Consider the following 20,256-nt stretch of genomic DNA (forward strand, 5'->3'; position numbering starts at 1 on the left):
GCCACCATGCCCAGCTAATTTTTTTTTTGTATTTTTAGTAGAGACGGGGTTTTGCCAAGTTGGCCAGGTTGGTCTCGAACTCCTGACCTCAGGTGATCCACCTGCCTCGGCCTCCCAATGTGCTGGGATTACAGGAGTGAGCCACCGCGCCTGGTCGAGAACACACTTTCTATATTAGAATACACACTATATCAGAAATGTTAATGACGTCATACGTCATCCCTTTTTTATAGCATGTTTGCATTTTACAGAGACTTTAGAGGTAACGTTTTAACTCAGAGAGCATCACATTTTCACAAAGAAGAGCAATTCTTTTTTTTATTTATCTTTCTTTGTTATCGCTTTGTTATTCTATCCAAAAATTTTTTCTTTCTTCCTTCCTTCCTTCCTTTCTTTTTCTTTCTTTTTAATGGGAACCACACAGACTGCATCCTCTCCCTCTTACTCTCTGGGAAGAAGAGGAAAATAATCATCAATGGCAAATAGCAGTTATAGCAAAGCAACACCAACAGCTGGCTTCACATTTAGGAGAGAATGCTGTGCTTCTTCCTCATGTTTCCTGGTGTTCCACATGTTCAGAGAAACTTCTCCAGTAGTGAACTATAGAAATGAACCTTGAAAATAGTCTTCACAATTTCTTATATGATTATTATTGTACCTGGATCACTTTCCTTTAGCCTAAACTCCATCCTTTAGAATTTCCTTTAGTGAGGGTCTATTGGTTATCTGAAAATGTCACTATTTCAAACTAATCATCAGAAAATGGGCATATTTCAATGAGTATGGAATTCTAGGTTGGCAGTTATTTCCATTCAGTGCTTTGAAAACTATGATCCTACTGTCTTCTGACTTCCATTGTAGCTCTTGAGAAGTCAACTATTATTTTAACTGTGACTATTTATAAAATCTCTTTGCCTTTGATGTTCTGCAGTTTCACTGTCACTTGTCCTAGTGTAGATTTATTTTTATATATAATTTGTGTACCATACTTAGGTGTCACTGCATTCAAGAATCTGTAGATTAGTATTTTTTAGTCATTTCTGTAGAGTACAGAGCCGTGTAAAAGGTATTCTTTGTTTCCCTGATTCTTAGAAATCACCTGAGAATCTTGTATATCTAAAAGTGGGGCGGGGGGGGGCGGGGGTGGTTACTAGTGGCTAAAGAGAATTGGTCCTTTGGTTCTCCCAGAAAGTTATGGAGTAGAGCTTCTCCAATAATAAGTAGAGCTTAATAATAAGTAGAGCTTCTAAATAAATAGCCTGCCACAGAAGAGGATAGGCAGTTAATGCCACCCCTGAATTATTCAGTTCAGAATTTCCATGTTAAAGCCAAAAGTACTCTCGTGGTAAGAATTGTCCTGCTGTAGATGTAGAAGAGTCTGGTACTTGTTTGTAAGGGGAGTGTTCTCACATTCACAAAATTCTTGACAGGAAGTTGCCAATTCTACTTATGTTGAGAGTTTATCAGGCAGCTGGAATTTAGTAATTAGCTTTTAGATTCTCTCAGAAACTTTCATCAAGCTCTACTGCAATTCATCCAGTTTCTGAATTTCTTAAATGTTATTTGGTGGTACTAAACTTTTTTAGGTAAAAGCAAAAGAAACCTGAAAAATAAGCTAACCTTTTGGGGATTATAGCTGCTCTCACCTTCATGCCCTGCTTAGATATGGATCACCTTTTCTAGGCAGATAGCTCTAGGTGACAGAGTAATCACTTAGCGTGCCATCCAAACTGAGCCTTTAAGACTGTTTTCAGAAGCACTAATTGGATGCCTTCCAGAAAGTTATGGCCCACTAGAGAGATCATCATTGAATACAGTAGTACCTAAAAGTCAAAGAAGTGAAAAAGTGACCCCTGAAAATCTAAATGTTAGGAAGAATTTCCAGTAAATAGCTGTAGGGTGGAATGGGACTTTGTGAGGGGAGAATAAAATTACATTATCGGAGTATGCCAGTCACATCTCCTTTGAAACAGATGGTTCCATGGTAAAAAGAAAAATCATATGAAGAAAATATTAACTGTAAGCAAAGACTGCATTTTAATACTTTCTATTAGGTAATGAGAATTGTCATTTATTCAACACACTTTGATATACTCTTTAAATACACGTCAGGCACTGTTCACTCTCTGAAATTATTTGTAATAGGGCCCTGAAAGATATTTGCACTGAGGGTGAGGTATATTTCACTACTGTAATGGCTCAATTTAACTAATAAAGAGAATAGATTAGAATAAATATTAGGAAATCATCAAATAAAAATCTAAAAATATTTCCTAGAATAGAAGGCTGTCAATCCATTGATTGAAAGGACCTATTGTCTAGTACAACAACATAAGAAAGTTAAAAAAAAAAAAAATCCACACCCAGGCAAATGATTATAAAATTTAGGACTCTGGAGACAAAGAAAAGTTTCCAAAGAGAAAAATAGATAGGTTACATGAACATGCAAAGAATGAAGAATTACAATAGCTTCTGACTTCTCAATAACAACACTAGAAGCTAGAAGGCAATGCTCAAGATTCTGAGACTAATGATTGCAATCTAAAATGCCATATGCAATCCAATTATCAATTGAGATATATTTTTACACACTAAAAACTTCAAGTATTTTATCTTTCATATAGCCTTTCCTAGGAAGCTTCTGGAGAACATACTCTACCTAAACTAGAAAAAAACAATAAAGTAGTATATAAAAAGCAATTGATTCAATGTTAGAAAGAGAAGGAGAGATAAAGAGAAAAAGGGAATTCCATTAATGATGACCAACTGAAATTCCAGGATGTCTGTGTTAGTCCATTTTTGCATTGCTATAAAGAAATACCTGAGACTGGGTAATTCATAAAGAAGTTTAATTGGCTCATGGTTCTGCAGACTATATAGGAAGCATAGCAGCATCTGTTTCTGGGGAGGCCTCAGGAAGCTTCCAATCATGGCAGAAGGCGAAAGGGGAGCAGGCGTTTCACATAGCAGAAGCCAAAGCAAGAGAGAGGGAGAGTTGTTTGGGGGAGGTGCTACACACTTTTAAACAACCGTCTCTCATGAGAACTCACTCACTATGGTGAGAGCAGCACCAATACATGAAGGATCAGCCCTCATGACCCAAACACCTCCCACCAGGCCTTACCTTCGACATTGGGAATTACAATTCGACATGAGATTTGGGCAGGGACAAATATCCAAACTATATCAGCAGTTACTCAGCAGAGCTAAAGTGCAACAAGTCCAGAATAGACTACAAGATGAAAGGCTCCAGAAAAACTTGTAACCTGCAGATTACTAAACTGGTTTAAAAATGTTGGAGATGATGAAAAACTTAGGCATAGATTTTTTTTTAATAGACAAAAAATAACAATTATTAAGTCAGAGGGAAAAAATGCTATATGTGAAAGAAAATGTAACCAGGAGTGCTGCTATGGTCTGAATGTATGTGTCTCCCCCAAAATTCATGTGCTGTGTGGCGCTCTTATGAATGGGATTAGCGCTCTAATAGGGGCTGAACAGAACATAGCCCTGGTCTTCCATCCATGTGAGGACAGAGCTAGAAGATGTCATCTAGGAGCCAGAAAGCAGGCCATCTCCATACACCCAATCTTCCAGATCCCTGATCTTGGGCTTCCCAGCCTTCAGAACTGTGAGAAATAAATTTACTTTATTTATAAGCCATCAAATCTACAGTATTTTGTTATAGCAGCCCAAGCAGACTAAGACGATTGTTATGGTTTTTCTTTCAGTTACCATTTTAGCAAAAACAAGAACTCATTCATCCAGAGTTGGCAATGCCCTCTGACCGTGAAGTTAATAGAGTGACCAAAAAATTAATTGTCCAAACTTGGAAGCTTTCAAGAGTGAAAAGTAGGTGCTATTACCAGTTAAGGTGGACCAGCAGGCATAATTTAGATCTATTGTAGGCAAGCTGAGACATAAGGCTATCCTAGCTGTTGTGAAACTACCACTGTCCACCTGGTGGCAGTTAACCTTTAATTGAAGTCAAAGAATTCAGGAGAAAATAAACTTCTGATCTTGGAAGCTCCCTCCTAAAACATGATTTTTAAAATCACCATCTACTTCTGAAGTGGGAGTCAGATGCTTTATTTTTAGGCATTTGGGGATACATAGCTTACTATGTAAAAACAAGTAAAGAAAATAATTCTGATTTATGAAAAACAATTTGAAAATTACATTCTAGAAATAGACATTTTAAAACTGTATAATCATTATTTCATAAATTACTGATGTTAGCAAACATGGATTCTAAGAGTGTTTCCCAATAAGACTTGAAATGTGTAAGTCCTGTTAAGGCTCATCTTAGAGCTCCAATAACTTGATTTCATTAACCAACGTGTAACTATTATCTTCCTGCATTTTTGTCAGTCCTTTTCCAGTCTTTAGTTAGGCTTATTCATTAATTACATTAATTATATAGAGGACCTGCTCCAACCCCAAAATATACTTAAAATCCCTATCATTATGTGCTATATTTTTAAAATATATAACTGAACCATAATCAGAGGGGCCAAACTTCAAATATTCTCTACCTTAAAAACCTGACCAAAACTCTGTGACAAGTCTTCAATATTGAGGGCTATAGGTGTTTTTCTTTTTCTTTTTCCAAGCAGCATTGTGAATATATTCATAAGGATTTGAATTGTGATTTCTTGATAAGGAATCAAGACATTGCTGTTGTTCTTGTCATTTGAAGATTTTTCCATCAAGTGTAACATGAACAGCAAATGAACTATTACCCTAATCTTCACATTTCCACTTGATAAGTTCACATGTGACCATTCTGATGTGTTTTATAGTATACCATCAAGAAGATCCAGTAAAGAAGGTTCACAGCTTCAAAAGCTTTCAAACTTTTTTAATGTCTGTTAGTTATGAGTGAATTTGCCCAAATGAATAAACATAACTATTAAAACACATACATAGCACCACTAATAAAAAAGACTCGAGCCAGGCGCGGTGGCTCACATCTGTAATCCCAGCACTTTGGGAGGCTGAGGCGGGTGGATCATGAGGTCAGGAGTTCAAGACCAGCCTGGCCAAGGTGGTAAAACCCCGTCTCTACTAAAAAATACCAAAAAATTAGCCAGGCGCGGTGGTGGGCACCTGTAATCCCAGCTACTTGGGAGGCTGAGGCAGAGAATTGCTTAAACCCAGGAGGCGGAGGATGCAGTGAGCTGAGATCACTCCACTGCACTACAGCCTGGGCAACAGAGCGAGACCCCGTCTCAAAAAAATAATAATAATAAAAATAAATAAATAAGACTTGTCCAACTTAAGTAGACAGTCACATTAATAGAAAATTATTTTCCTCATAAGAAGCTTTTTTTTAGTATAAACCTATTAGTCTTCTATTTCTTACTTTTAAAACATCTATTTTTTATTTTACTTTTCATTATTTTTATGAAATGAATGTTAACCTATTTTTGGACTCTTACTTTTTAGAAGAGTATGCTATGACTTGAGCTTTTTAGTAATATTGTCAATCTATGGAAACCTATGAACGTTGCTTTAACTGGTGGTTATAAAATTAATGCAATTTCTAACATTTCTCCATACTCCTGAGTAATTCTGGGAATTATCCTTCCAAAGAAATCTTTGTATTTCTAGATTGAGATGAGAGAAAAAGTATATGGGTACTTCTACAAACTTTTCCTATGCATGTACATATCTAGCCAAGCATACCAACCTAAATCATTAAAGCCATCAGCATCTTGGAGAAGGATGGACAAGCTTGAAGGGAAGCTATCCAGCAGGAGAGAGTTAACAATAAAATAAGTTGTTTCAACCAAAATTCAAATAGATATGGAGGTTATATTTTGAAATGAGTTGGTTTTCACAACTGAAGTGTGAGTTTGTGTTTGTGCGTGTGCTGTGACTCTTTGATGTGTGGTGGAAGATTTCTGGGAACTAATTTTAGTTCCTGAGTTCTAATTCTAGTTGAGTCTGAGATCACCACAGGTAGTGTCACTATTTTGAGCAATTGTACAATTTCTTTACATTATCCCCAAAAGGCCTATGCCCACATAGGTACACAGGAGTGCTAATCAATGTAGTGAGTAGGTAAAAACCCTGTTTTTGTCTTTTGTAAGTTTAAACTGTTTTCTGTCCCCTAAAGAGAAACCCTTAAATAAAAATGATGAATTCTTATATGTCAGGGGTAGTGCCATGATCATGAAGGTGGTTCTCCCAGCGCCAAGGCTCATCTATTCCATTCCAGATGTGCTGACCCCCTGAGATTTCACCAAATGTGGGAAACTTGATTGCATAATTTATGGTGGTGGTGAACTGTGTTCACTCTTTCTCCAGTTCAAAAAACAAAACAAAACAAAACAAATGGCCTTTTATTTCCTAGTGACTGAACTCTTTTAACATTTGATTAACGTCCATTTCAAAAATGGCTATATTCAACCTCGGCTCAACATTATAAAACTGGGATTATACAGACAAAGCCTAAATCATATAAAGAGAAAATCAGCTAGAGATGTCTATCCATTTGGGTACTTGAACATGTCAAAAGCAACTTGAAATTTTAGCTAACTTTTGTAAACCTATCGGGCTTACACACCAATTAGTATCCAAGGAGACATAAAACTGTGAAGGCTTACAAGGTGCTCTTTCCAAAAAGAAAAGCCCTTTCAAGGACACTTGAAGGGAATTCCTTCCCTGAACAATGGCCATTCTCCCTTGGCAAGGGAATTTGTCAGGTGCCTGAGTTGTACTAACAGCATAGGATCAAGAAGCAGGCAGCTCTTCTAAAGGCTCTGCAGAACAGCCCCCCGAAACAATCAATCAGCAATCAACCAACTGGCCTTCCTAGGGTTCCTATCCTGTTTCAGGATCTAATCGTTTAAAAATGAGTGGGAATTTGGAAGTTAGAAATTGAATAGTTTTTATAATAACTCAAAGGTTAGCCTTGGCAAGGTTACTTAGAACTAACCCATCCATTTTCTCACTGGCACATTTCATAAAAACAAACAAATAAATTTGAATGGTACATTCCCATTAAAGGTAACTTTGCTTCAAGACCCTTTTCCAGAACACACATCATTCAGTGATTAGTCACACAGTAGTGTTACCAATTAAAAAAAAAAAAAATTGGAGGCAAGATTAGATTAAGGTCCTAAATCTCAAATGATTACAGTGACCTATACACTGCTACATAATTTTTTAATTAATTTTTTAAAACAGTAAAAACTTGAATATGTGTTACAATTAATATGGTATCTCTCTGGTATTTTTAAATAACAAATCTGGATAGGTTAATCAAAGCTGAACTTCGCTGGAGCTCTAAACATGAGTTTATTTTGATTTTTAGCTAGCTCAGCATTGGATTTTAGATAAGATTTCCAGAATCAATCAGAAACATCCTGCTGGGTCATTCTTCCAAATTAGGCTTACTGGAGTGCACACCATGGTCAGACTTCAGAAAACTGACTCAACAATCACAAAACTCCTGGAATCTTTTGGGAGCCTCTGTAATTTTTTGTCTATAATAGGGGCTTAATAATCATTTCGTGTATTTCTTTTTTACTCTTGAAAATGTAGTATTTGTTGGTCAGTGGTTGGATGCCAAGAAATTATGTTCAGCCAAAGTGGTCAACGGAATAGAGGTTTAGAATTTAAAAGTTTTTCTAATCTGCATACATGTTTTTAATCTGCTAAGCAAACCTTAATTTTGGTGCACACATTTATTTCTCAGAGGTGGACACTAATCATAGTGCCTTTTAACAGTGTTAGTTTAGTCTACACGCAAAATCAAAACTAGCAGTCCCTTGAGGAATTTTTTTACTGAAATGCCAAGAGTTCTGTCTCGGTCCTGCTGCTTGCTACAAAGAAAACCAATCACTGAGACAATGAGTATTGCCAAGGAAGAAGCCCTTAATTGGGTGGGCAGCTGAGGTGATGGGAGGGAGATCAGTCTCAAATCCATCTCCCTGACCGACTAAAATCATGAATTTATATAGCAGTGAAGAAATGTAACTACATGCAGGAAAGAAGGAATTAGGGAGGGGTGAGGAAGAGGAGTTGGTCAACAGGAAACAGGTGGTCAGCTGGCAATCATGATGGGTTAGGGGTCTGGCATCTCATTGTCCAGATGTGGTGATTCGGTGAATTTCAATTCTTTGATACTATCTGGGAGGCCTGATGGTTGGTTTCCTGAGAAAGGAACTCAGATAAGACAAATGTAACTTTCTCAAGTTTTAAGAATGTGAGGACAATTTCTATGTTTATTCAAAAGAGACCATAAACGTCAGTTCTATGGGACAATTGGGCCAATTTCAATTTTAGTCCAAATTCAAGTTACTCAAGGTAAAACAAATAATCTGGCAAATAAATAGCTGCTTCGAGAATCAATCATTTGGTTATTTTTTTTTTCTTTTTGTCTTGCCACCTACACAGATACTTTTAGATGGTGTGGTGTGAATGCAGCTTTTGGGGGGACAAGAGGCATAGGTAAAACAGTGTTAAAAATACAAGCCTATGAAAACCTTAAAGTTCAGAAAAAGAATTATGATGAGGCAGTACTCAAATTGTCATTAATAAAGAAGGAAAATTAACATTCACTAACAACTAGTTTCCAGGTACCTTGCTATGCTTTATTAATTTTTTAAAAATTTCCTCTTTACATTAATCCTATTAAGTTGATATCATTATGACATATTACAGATGTGGAAATTGAGGCTTAGAGATCCTAAATAACTTGACTATTGCTAGAAAGGGGTGAATCCAAGATTGAAGTCCAGATAGTCAGACTCTAGAAACTCCTCCCTTTTTTAGACAGCATCCATAATGGTTAAGAGCTGTAGCTCTAGAGCCAGACTGCCTGGGTTCGAATCCCCTAATTTCAACTGTTTCATTTACTAGTTGTGTGACCATAAGTAAGTGTGTTAATTCTCTGTGCCTCAATTTCCATACCTGTAAAATGAAATAATAATAATGCTTACCACATAGGGTTGTTAAGAAGAATTAATGAGTTAAATGAGTAAATATGTAAAGTGTTTAAAATAATCCTTGACACAAAGAAAGTACTAAATAAATGACAGCTATTGTTAGTATTTTTACTATGTCATACAGTTGACTGCCGTCAATAATGAGAGGCTGTTTGTATTTTAAACAGAGTAACTCATTTAAAAAAAATACTGCCTACAAGGGTTTACAAATGAATGGCACCAAAAAAGTAAAACTAAAATCTCCTTGCCAATTTCATATAACAGTACTTTTCCCTGAGCATTTTTAAATATTGAAGTTTATCGGAATATCTATCTAGCATATTATTTCCCTACCTTTTATAAGCCATGCCCCTTTGATAGATGTTTAAACATTTTAAATTGCCTTTAATGTTATTTGTAATTTCAAGATAAATTAAACATAAAGACTGAAAACAAATGAATATTGAAAAAAGTGGCTATATTTTCGAACTGCAAACACTTTCCACGTATTCTTCCAGCATTTCAGAAACACTGATTTAGCAAACAGGACAATGTGTGCTGAGTGAACTTAGGCAAGTTATATAGTCTCAGTCACCTGCTGTAAAACAGGATAAACACACAGGTTTTACCTCCTTGCCAGATGTGCTGGGAATCAAATGAAACAGTAGATATCAAGACCCTTTCTGTTCCAGAAAGCCTGATCCAAAAAAGAGATGATTATTGTGGCTGGCAGCAAACTTGTCATCTTGTTGTTAGCAGCTCATTCATCTTTTGATAAAATAATCTGGATGTATTTCATTGTTCTCAAAGTCAAAGAAATACAAACCTTTTTTAGTCATTGCTAGTAAGTAATATTTCAATTTTAGAAAGGACAACTCTATGAAGAAAAACAACCATCGATCATTAATGAACATTAATTTTCATTTTCTGAATGCTTTCAGATCCAGGTCCACACGAGCAATTTATAATTTCATGATATGACTGTTTTTAAGCATATCCAGTGCAGATACAGTCCTTTTAGTCCTTAAAATTCATGATATTGTGAGAAAAATATACTGTGAATTGTTGCATTTAATCTAAAGTGATATACACATCTTAGTGCACTTTTATGGTAACAACTAGAATGAATTAGAGACGCATTCAGAATGAATATATTCCTGGTCACTCATTGCGAAAAGATTGGTTAATATACCACATTCATTACTTGTGCAATCTCCTCTTATTGCTATATTTGCATGCAAACGACTTAGTTTTTCCTTCAATTTAAATGAATTCTCTATTAGAAATAAAGATCCAAATGTAAAACCATAAAATAAAGTTTGTGGGCTGCTTTTATTAAAAGTGGTCCTAAAAAATTAGGAGAAAGCCACGGGCAGATTAGTCTCATTTTTATATTCTCATTGAAATTTTAGCAAGTTTTAGGCAAAATAGGCATTATTTCATCTCATCTAGACTTGTTTTTTCTCAATAGTGATAATTGCTAGAAATAGAAATCATAAGGTCAGACTTAATTTTAGGGGAATGGGGTCAGGGTGGGTGAGTTGGGAGGGAAACAAAATAAAAGGAAGGGGTACAATGAAAATAAGTTGGGTGAGGAAGGCAAGGAAGGAGTTCTGCATAAGTTTGTAGTTGCACAAATGTAGAAAAGTGGGATGTAAGTCACATACACGCACACACCAAAAATAACTTGAACTTCATTCTTGTGAGTTTACTCCTCCTTCTTACCACCATTCCAAGTCCTTACCACACACACATTTCAGAGCATGTCTGTCCCTTTAATGCTAGCTGTCATTCAGTTTAAAGCATAGATCAAATTTTGACTGACAGCGAAATGACTGCATTGCATCATTTTTAGATAGAGTAATTTTAATGCTTTGCCATAATGAAAGCAGGTTGAAATTCTCATGTCTTTCTTTGTCGTGTTTCCCAATAGTGTTAGTTTTAATTGCTTCAATTGATGTTTATCTGTCATTACAAATTCCAATAAACTGTGAGAATACCACAGAAATAATCTCAAAAGCAAAAGAACAAAAACAAAAAATCATGCCAGAGATATTGTTTTATTTTTTAACTATCTCTAGAAAAGAGGAATGATAAACAAATTAATATTTTAATGAGGACTATAGGAAGAATGCCTAAATCACTGATTCAAGCTCTTCTAAAACCACTTTAGCAACTTCCATTTACTGATAAATACTTAAGGCGTAGTAGATCTTCAAGAAATCTCAGATATAATCTATTCTAATCCATTCATTTTATAGATGAGAACACTGAAAACATTTCTAGTGCCAGATCTGGGAGCAGGGCGTATGTGTCATGTCACCAGTCCATTGGGTATTTCCACTCTTCCTTCCTTCTTTTTGGTGTATGTGTGTATGTGACTTACATCCCACTCTACATTTGTGCCACTATAAACTTTTCCAGAACCCCTTCCTTGCCTTCCTTATCCAATTTATTTTCACTGTACCCCTTCCTTTTATTTTGTTTCCCTCCCAACTCACCCACCCTGACCCCATTCCCCTAAAATTAAGTCTGACCCTATGATTTCTATTTCTAGCAATTATCACTATTGAGAAAAAACAAGTCTAGATGAGACAAAATAATATATAATAATAATATAACTTAATCACAACCTTATTTTTACTAAAGCAGGCCCGCCGATTGCCAATAATTGGTTATCTCTTTTTAAAAACTGCATCTTACTACACTGCTTAAACGCAACCCAGCTACGTTTCTTTTCAAAATTATATGATTTAGACTTTTCACTATATCAGAATTGCCTTCTTCCAAATTATTCTTAGTTACTGAAGTTTTAGCTGTAGTTGCATCTTAAAGCTTTGCTATTTTTCAAAGCAGAAATTTAGGACATAATGGTAAAGTTTTGTTTATATTTGCTGTCCTGGTATTTTTATCATCCCAAGATAGTTTCATAGAGTCCATGCCATGGATATAAAGAAAAAGGAAATTTAGCTAAGAAAAATGATTTGTAGGCCGGGTGTGGTGGCTCACGCCTGTAATCCCAGCACTTTGGGAGGCCAAGACGGGTGGATTATCTGAGGTCAGGAGTTCGAGACCAGCCTGACCAAAATGGGGAAACTCTGTCTCTACCAAAAATACAGAATTAGTCGGGCGTAGTGTAGCATGCCTGTAATCCCAGCTACTCAGGAAGGCTGAGGCAGGAGAATCGCTTGAACCTAGGAGGCAGAGGTTGCGGTGAGCCGAGATCACACCATTGCACTCCAGCCTGGGTAACAAGAGCGAAACTCCGTCTCAAAAAGAAAAAAAAAAAAGAAAGAAAAATGATTTGTTGAAAAGTGTACTTCAAGACTTTTTAGATTGTGAAATCATTTTATAACCATTATCTGATTTATGGCACATGATTTTTAAAAAATTAGCCACCCTCCAAAGCACATTCATTCCTGTGCAACTCAAAATGTCAAAATAAATACACGTGTAGAAAATCTTATTTATAAAAATGGAAAACTTCCCTGAATATTTGTTGGACTCTTCTGTTTTGTTTTTGTTTTTTTTTTTTTGTTTTTTTTTTTTAAAAAGCTTGGGATTACTTATATTCTAGTCAATGCATATGCTGGTCATCTCAGAGCTCATTTCAGTATCTCATGACATAGACATATAGTGTCCTCATGCCTGTTTTTCACTGTCTGACATGGAACATGCCCTTGTTCTTCTCCTTTTCCCATCAAAGTGAATCATGTATGTGTTCCATTCTTTAGACACCTATTAGATGATTAACTGGCAGATCTGTAGATTAGTTTTTTGCATATACTGTATTTCATCTATTTTAAGATTACATTGTTTTTCTACATGCTAATGTCTCTGAAATAGGGCTGCATCCTGAAATTCTATGGCATCTTTTCATCAATTAAGAGTGACTTGTTTGTCATTTTCTACACAGCGAGATTTGTTCATCGCTGTTTATATGATCATCACAGCAATGTGTTATATGCTTTCTAGGTACTATATTACATGCATTGAGTTTAAAATGTCTCCAGAGAAACTATAATGTGATTCCTCATTGAAACAAAAGTTGTTATACATACAGGACGGTGCAGAAAAAGAGCAGGTACATGAGTTTGATGTTAGTGATTGTGGTAAACAGCATAATATCCCTCTTCCCTCAAAGATGTCCACATAGCCATCCTGGGAACCTGTGAATATGTTACCTTACCTGGGGAAGGAGAATTAAAATTGCTAATCAAATGGCTTTAAAATAGGGAGATTTTCCTGGATTGTTTGGGTGGGTCCAATGCAATCACATCACCAGAGTCTTTAAAAGTGGGAGAGGGAAGCAGGGGAGGAGTCAGAGTCGAGGGAGATGTGACTACAAAAGAGAGAATCAGAGAGATGGCAGTGTGAATACATGGCCTGACATTGCTGGTTTTGAATGGAACCAGCTGGTTCCATTGCTGGTTTTGAATGAGCCAAGGAATGTGGACAGCCTCTAGAAGCCGGAAAAGGCAGGGAAACGGATTCTATCATAGAGCCTCGCGAAGGAATGCGGCTCTGCTGACAACTTTATTTTAGACCTTTGGGACACATTTAGGACTTCTGACTTCCATAACTATAAGACAGTGAAGTTTGTGTTGTTTCAGGGCACTGATTTGGTAGTAATTTGTTACAGCAGCAATAGAACGGTAATACAATTATATTAGTGATTAGTGGAGAAAAGACTCTAATTTCTGATTTTCTGGCAAAGAATAAACCAAATATTTTATAAAAACTAAAAAGTAAAAGATACCTACATGTACTTGAACCTGCATTATATACCATTAAATTCTTACACATATATGTGGAAAATGATTATTTACCATACAACTAGTAGCGCAACTAAAGGCAGAAGACAGAAGAAATCGCCAAGTCTTTGGGATCTGATAAAAGAAATCTCAAAGCAACAAGAGACTGGTGGACCAATTCAAATAACACATAGAACTATCTGAGTCATAGTATAATTTAAAATATTTGTTCTTTCTTAGGGATACATAAAATAATGGTGTGTCTTACAATTGATGTCACCTTTCATTCAATGAAATATGTTAATATTAATTAGTGTTTATATCATAAGAGTAAAGCTCATTGTGTAAATTTTGGACGGAAATATATAAATATATAAATAAGAAAAGCGAAATCTTCCATAATTCCCCAGTATCAGTCAGGATAGTCTAATTTGTGTTATTATAACAAGCAACCCCCAAATCTCAATTGCTGAAGCAACAAAGATTTATGGCTTGCTCATACTACCTGTCCACTGTGGCAAGGCGAGCCTGTACTCATAATACCATTCAGATACTGAGGTTAATGGGGCACCACTGAGTTGAACATTATTGTTAGTCCTGTAAAAGTTCAATGAACCTCAAGCACGACAACATGAGAAAAGTATAACAAAGCACATCAAAATCAAATTGCTTAAAACCAGCAATGAAGAGAAAAATCTTAAAAGTAGCCAGGAGTTAATGAACAAACTTGGAGAGCTAACACTATCTTATTTTGAGATTCATTATATACTTACAGAGCAGTGTAATTGTAGCCTAAAAATAGGCAAGTAAATCAACAGAACAGAGTAGCAAGTTCAGAAAGAGATCCACAAGTGCATGGACAACTGATTTTTGACAAAGGTACACAGGCAAGTCAATGGGAAAAGGATAGTCTTTTCAACAAATGTTACTGCACAATGTGATATCAATATGCAAGAAAATAAACTGTGATACATACCTTGCGCCATATATAAAATTTAATTCAAAACGGGTCACTGGACTCAAATATACAATCTAAAATAACACTTGTAGAGAAAGGGACAGCAGTCTATGGCAGTAGACTGACTTTCTGTTTTTGTAAATAAAGTTTTTTTGAAAAACAACTCTACTCATTTGTTTGCATATCGTCTATAAGAGTTTCCATGCTATGACAGGGTTGAGTAGTTGTATTTCTAGGACAATTGAAAGAGAACAAGAGAGAGAAACAGATTATGCTTTATAGTAACTGGCATTGCCATAGCCTTTACAGAGGGTCTTGAATTACTGCCTTTGGAAGAAAGTGGCATAGTTAAAGTATTTAGCTTTCTGATTATTCTCAAAGAAATACTTCTAATCTAAACCATTACCATGTGTAGTCTTTGTGTCCCCATTCTTGTAAGTTACATAATTAGTAATTAATCAGTCTTTGATTTTATTTTATCACTGTGATTTTCCTGTACAAGGGTTTTAAGACTTATAAGTCTGGAAATCATATAATTTGGTGGTAATTTAGAGGGCATGTAAGGGGCTCAGAAGTCCTCTCTCCTCACAAATTTGTCACCTATGACAGGTACCTAAAATTCTACCATCACTTCTGTCCCACAGTTACTTAAAATTTTGACGCCTTTTATATGTTATTACAAATGGCTTATTTATAAGAGCATGCTGGGAATGGGGAATATATAAAGCATGAAGTCAGTTTTCACCTGGTAGGGACAAAAGGGTAGTGCATCCCTGAAGATGCAGAAGAACATCAAAGATGAGTCTAACTCTTACAATTTTGCTGAGGCTGCCCCTGGTGACACCCCACTGAAATATATTAAAGCAAACAATTCCAGTTGCAAGTGCATTTCAGCACAAAACAGATATAGTAGGACCACTACCATTGAGTTTCTCTCCTTCAGTTTGTAGGGTGCTGATATCACCACAAATTAAAAATAACCAAATAGAAATCACTTTTCTTGCTTTCTATTTTGCCAGAACACCCAGATGCAAAATAAAATATTCAATCTCCCATCTGGATATTTTGTCTCTGTGATGCCAAATATACAAATGCTTCCAAAGTGCTGAACTATTGATGACATTTTTCATCTTTCCTTTACAATGTTTTGACACTGGCGATGCAAGTGCTGTATCCAATTAGAAGTTTTACTTCTCAATAAACTGCTCAATTGCATCAATAGCCACCTCCACTTCACTGAGTTGTGTTCATCTACTGACAACTTACTATAATGGCAAAAAGTGTGGACAATGTGGGTACACTGCTAGAGTCCAAATCCCTTTTCAGCTGCTTACTAGCTGTGTTACCTTAAGGGAGTTATATAGCTTTTCCTTGCCTATTTCTGCATCTGCAAAATGAAGATAATAAGCATAACTACCAGAATTGTGGCCAAAATTAACTCAGATAAATGTAAAGTGCCAGGCATATAATGAACATTCAATAAATAATATCTTTCTGTTATTCCTTTTAGTAAAGCATTCATTGATGTCATAGAGCTACCTTGGAACCGGGAGTGAATAACCCTGGGGGCTCCTAGGTCCTCAGTCTTTTCTTCCATTTGTTAAAAGAGATCTAGAGTGACTTGAATGGTGCAAATGCCAAGCCAAATCAGTGGTGGGGGTGCAGGACCTTGCAATACCCTTCAAGCACACGCAGACCTGCCTGGGCATGTGATCCCATTCTTTCCCATGTGTTTACAAAGTGAGCAAGGCAGGGGGTCTTCTTTCATTTTGTTATAAGTAGCTACATGATTATAAAACGGGATAACAGCCATTGCTAATCTTCCCTATTCAATGCCAGAGGAATTTCCTCTTATTAAGGACCTTTGTCTTGGAATTTGGATTTAGGATTTTATAACCTCAATGGAAAAAGAGGAAGGGAAAATAAGCTATTTAGTGTTGTACATTCCAGCCTGAAACAATTGTCCTTCAGATATGCACCCTACGGATGCAGCTGTTGATTTGGGAGGTTACTTTTGTTCAGAGGTGAGTCAGCCCTTAGCCAAACTATGAAGGATGCAGTGTTGATCCTTTGAGTTCCCCTGCCTCCCTTTGAGTGTTCTTTGGCCCCTGTGTAATGCCTCAGCCTAAGGTGTCCAGTGTATTCTTGATGGTTGGGATCTTCCCTCCCAGCAATGAAGGAAAGAGATTTGATAAATTATTTCACAATAATGTGTCAGATCCTAATTTGTTACCTCTCTGAGAGAAACTTTGAAAGACACTGCTTATAAAGGAGAAATCCTTATTGGTGGGCATTGCACCATAAAGAGTCTCAGGGAAGGAAGGGATGCAGACAGAGATTAGGAGACTCTGATCTTCATATCCCAACTAGCTATTATATTGGAGTCTAAGGCCAACCCCACCTTGAGCACGTATCAAGAGGTAGTGATCACAAAGTTAAACTGTTCAAAAATCAATAATTAAAACTACCATTCCCCCAAGTGTCAGTGAATCTCTGGGGCTGAGATAACCTTCGAAGAGAAATAACGTAAAGCTAAAAGAAAAACATCAGCCGGGCGCGGGGGCTCACGCCTGTAATCCCGGCACTTTGGGAGGCCGAGGCTGGTGGATCACGAGGTCAGGAGATCGAGACCATCCTGGCTAACACGGTGAAACCCCATCTCTACTAAAAAATACAAAAGAATTAGCCGGGCGTGGTGGCAGACGCCTGTGGTCCCAGCTACTCGGGAGGCTGAGGCAGGAGAATGGCGTGAACCCGGGAGGTGGAGCCTGCAGTCAGCCAAGATCGTGCCACTGCACTCCAGCCTGGGCGACAGAGCGAGACTCCATGTCAAAAAAAAAAAAAAAAAAAAAAAAAGAAAGAAAGACATTGTTGATCTACAAACCTGTCAATCAATTTGAGTACTATGTAGAAAACTCTCAGGGTGGTTAAGACACCCCACGCTTTTTGGGATCAAGAGAAATATTCACTTTCAGTTCAAATATCTGTACCCTATTGGAATACATAGCTTTAGGAACTCACTGAATGTTTGTAAATCAGAATTCAAAATTATCTATCTTGACAATATCATTGTTCTTTTTTTTCTAAATAAATGAAATGTAGCATCTTTTTGCAAGAATTTTGATATGATAACTAAACTTGATAGGAGGTTCAGCATCTTTATAATTTTATTGCATATTTTACTGATTACATAAGGATCTTATAAAATAATTGCTTATAACATTATTTATTGCAAAGAGCAACCATTGTAAATTAGGAATCCATTATTTTTATTTTTCCCCTGCTTATAGAATTCTGAACACACGTCCAAAACCACTTTACTATAGTCTGTATACGTGTCAAAATAGCCATGATGTCATTCAAAATTTCTATTATTTGAACTGAATCAACATAAATTAGAATGAAAGCACTATATGATTTTAGAAGCAGCAAAACTAAAAGCTTTACATTTTAAAAGCTTGATACTATTAATAGATGGATGGACCCTGGATTGCTTGAATAGCCTAATTTATTGCAGTAGGAATAAATTAAGTCATTAAAAAAAAATCCCACCAGATATAGACATGCCTTTTTTTTAATACTTAAAACGTGGCAACAGATTTCTTCATTAGTATGTGTTGTACATCTCTTCCTACTTATAGATTTAAAAACTCATATTTTACAAGGAGAGTGGAATACACACCTCCCTTCTATGGCCCATCTTTTGAGGCAAAATTGTATTTAAAATAAGACTTCTGTAAATTCTACCCCTACGGTGTTTTTCCCTTTCCTGACTTGTAGTCACCCAGGAGTTTGTTGCTCTGTCTCCATTTTTATGGTTAATGTTGCTCTGAGAAAAGAATTACATGTCAGTCATTTTCACGTTACAATGAATTCAATTCAGTGTGCATGGGGAAAAAAATCTAGCATTTTAAAATAGTATTTATACAATTGTATGTATACAATTATACACTGTGCCAAAATAAGTCTGTTTGTATAAAAGAGATAACTTGCTAAGGTATTTACCTACCCTCACCTTAAGGGAGATGATTTAAATTTGCCAAGGCAGAAATGTTGCCACATGCTTTCATCAGCAGCTAAGAAGGGAAGTATGTTTGAATGAAGGCCACATCTGAACGTGAACCATAGAACAGAGGTTTTGCTTAAAGAGAAAAATTGCTTCAGACCCTTCTGAAAAGAGGAAGTTCCATTATTCTTAAAATAAGTCAGTTTCTTTTATATTGTGGGTTTTCACAAAATAATTACAGAAAAAGCCATGTAGAAATCTTTTTGCTACAAAACCACAAATAGGCTGGGAGAGAAAAATGGAGAGTGAATAAATTCATCCATCAAATTAAGAAAGAAACTGATAGTTATCATTCACTGTCTTCTTTTTTTGGTTTATTTGAAGAACTGAATTAATTGCTTTACAGCTTTACTTTGTGCTTGTATGTGGGTAATTCACTGTGATACAATAACATTAGAATGATATTTTCTAAGACTTTTTAGTTTTCCAATCAACAACCACAAACAATCCAGATCACTGGGCAGCAATAATGCAAGAAAATGTAGGATTATTAATAAATTGATTAAGCTTTTTGTAATATTAAAGGAATTTCAGGCATCAGACAGGAATGAGCAGGAGAGTTAATATTTGAAGAGATAGGGAGCTTATCACAGTAGGTAGTTCATGTACCTAAATGTAACATCACCCTGCCAAGCAAGGATACCAGGTTACACGTATGTACTTTTCATAATAGATTGATGTTTTGTGGTAAAATCTCTGCTATGAAGAGGACGTAATCAATCTCATTTTACTAAAAGGGCCATTCAAAAGGCAGTTCATATATTTGCAAAGTGAAGGTATCTAATTATCATTATCTGTGAAATTGTTTTCTCTAAAAATTCTCTGAGATGTTCAGATATAAGACTCAGAGCAAAATTTCTAAGACATGGCCTTGGAAAATTATATAGATATTTTTCTAAAATGTCATTGGTCAAATGATATTCATTGACTGTAAGTATAACTCAATTTAGTACCCTGCATAATACTACCTTCAAAGCATGTATATGATGCATCAAAAGCCTACTCATACAGGAGCTATAAAACATACGCCTTATAAATCCTTTTCCCCGACTGTAGATCTTTACTTACTGTGGCAATTCCCATAACTCAGTATTATTTGAAATTCCGGACACCATCTGAAAGCAGAAAATTTTGTCTGTTTACCAAGTATACATGTTACCTATTTGGGGAATTGCAGAATGTGGTTACTTTAATATATTCCACCTCTTTTGACTATGAAGTGTTTATATCTTGCACTAAAAATGTACTTTCATAGTAGATATTGGGATAATATAACGAGTACATTATTTAAAAAATTTTAAGTTGTTTTAGGTTGTTTGTTCAGCCAAATTTTATAACTTACAAATATGGGACTATGAATGTTGTCAACAAGCTAAATGATCATTATAGTCAGTAACTTTCACCATTTTTCATCATATTGCTGATCATATCATTGCAAAAATTAACACACACCTGATTTATCTGGAATCCATAAATATTCATGTATACTTATTTATCACAAACTGTCACAGAACTAGCACCATATCAACATTAGCTTTTAAC

At 36.0% G+C, this 20,256-nt stretch overlaps 1 long non-coding RNA gene, 1 other non-coding gene and 1 pseudogene across 2 annotated transcripts in view, besides 1 other annotated feature; 1 reads left to right on the forward strand and 2 right to left on the reverse strand.

Moving 5' to 3' along the window:
• Positions 1 to 19,974, reverse strand: part of LOC124905236 (uncharacterized) — a 36,671-nt gene extending 16,697 nt beyond the window's left edge. The window contains exon 1 of the long non-coding RNA XR_007068366.1: positions 19,783 to 19,974. This is a non-coding gene — a long non-coding RNA (uncharacterized LOC124905236). The remainder of the gene's footprint in view (positions 1 to 19,782) is intronic.
• LOC124905291 (small nucleolar RNA U3) lies at positions 416 to 634 on the reverse strand. The gene has a single exon (XR_007068449.1). It is a non-coding gene; the product is annotated as a small nucleolar RNA U3 (small nucleolar RNA).
• Positions 6,147 to 6,312, forward strand: RNU1-57P (RNA, U1 small nuclear 57, pseudogene; annotated as a pseudogene).
• Positions 16,151 to 16,969: an enhancer, noted in NCBI's record as "OCT4-NANOG-H3K27ac-H3K4me1 hESC enhancer chrX:113203206-113204024 (GRCh37/hg19 assembly coordinates)". NCBI's record gives its function as "activates a minimal SCP1, AML or CMV promoter by ChIP-STARR-seq in primed H9 embryonic stem cells {active_cell/tissue: H9 hESC(primed)}" and the evidence as "EXISTENCE:reporter gene assay evidence [ECO:0000049][PMID:30033119]".
• Positions 19,975 to 20,256: the final 282 nt, after the last annotated feature.

This window comes from Homo sapiens, chromosome X (genome assembly GCF_000001405.40).
Source record: "Homo sapiens chromosome X, GRCh38.p14 Primary Assembly".
Classification (NCBI taxonomy): domain Eukaryota; kingdom Metazoa; phylum Chordata; class Mammalia; order Primates; family Hominidae; genus Homo; species Homo sapiens.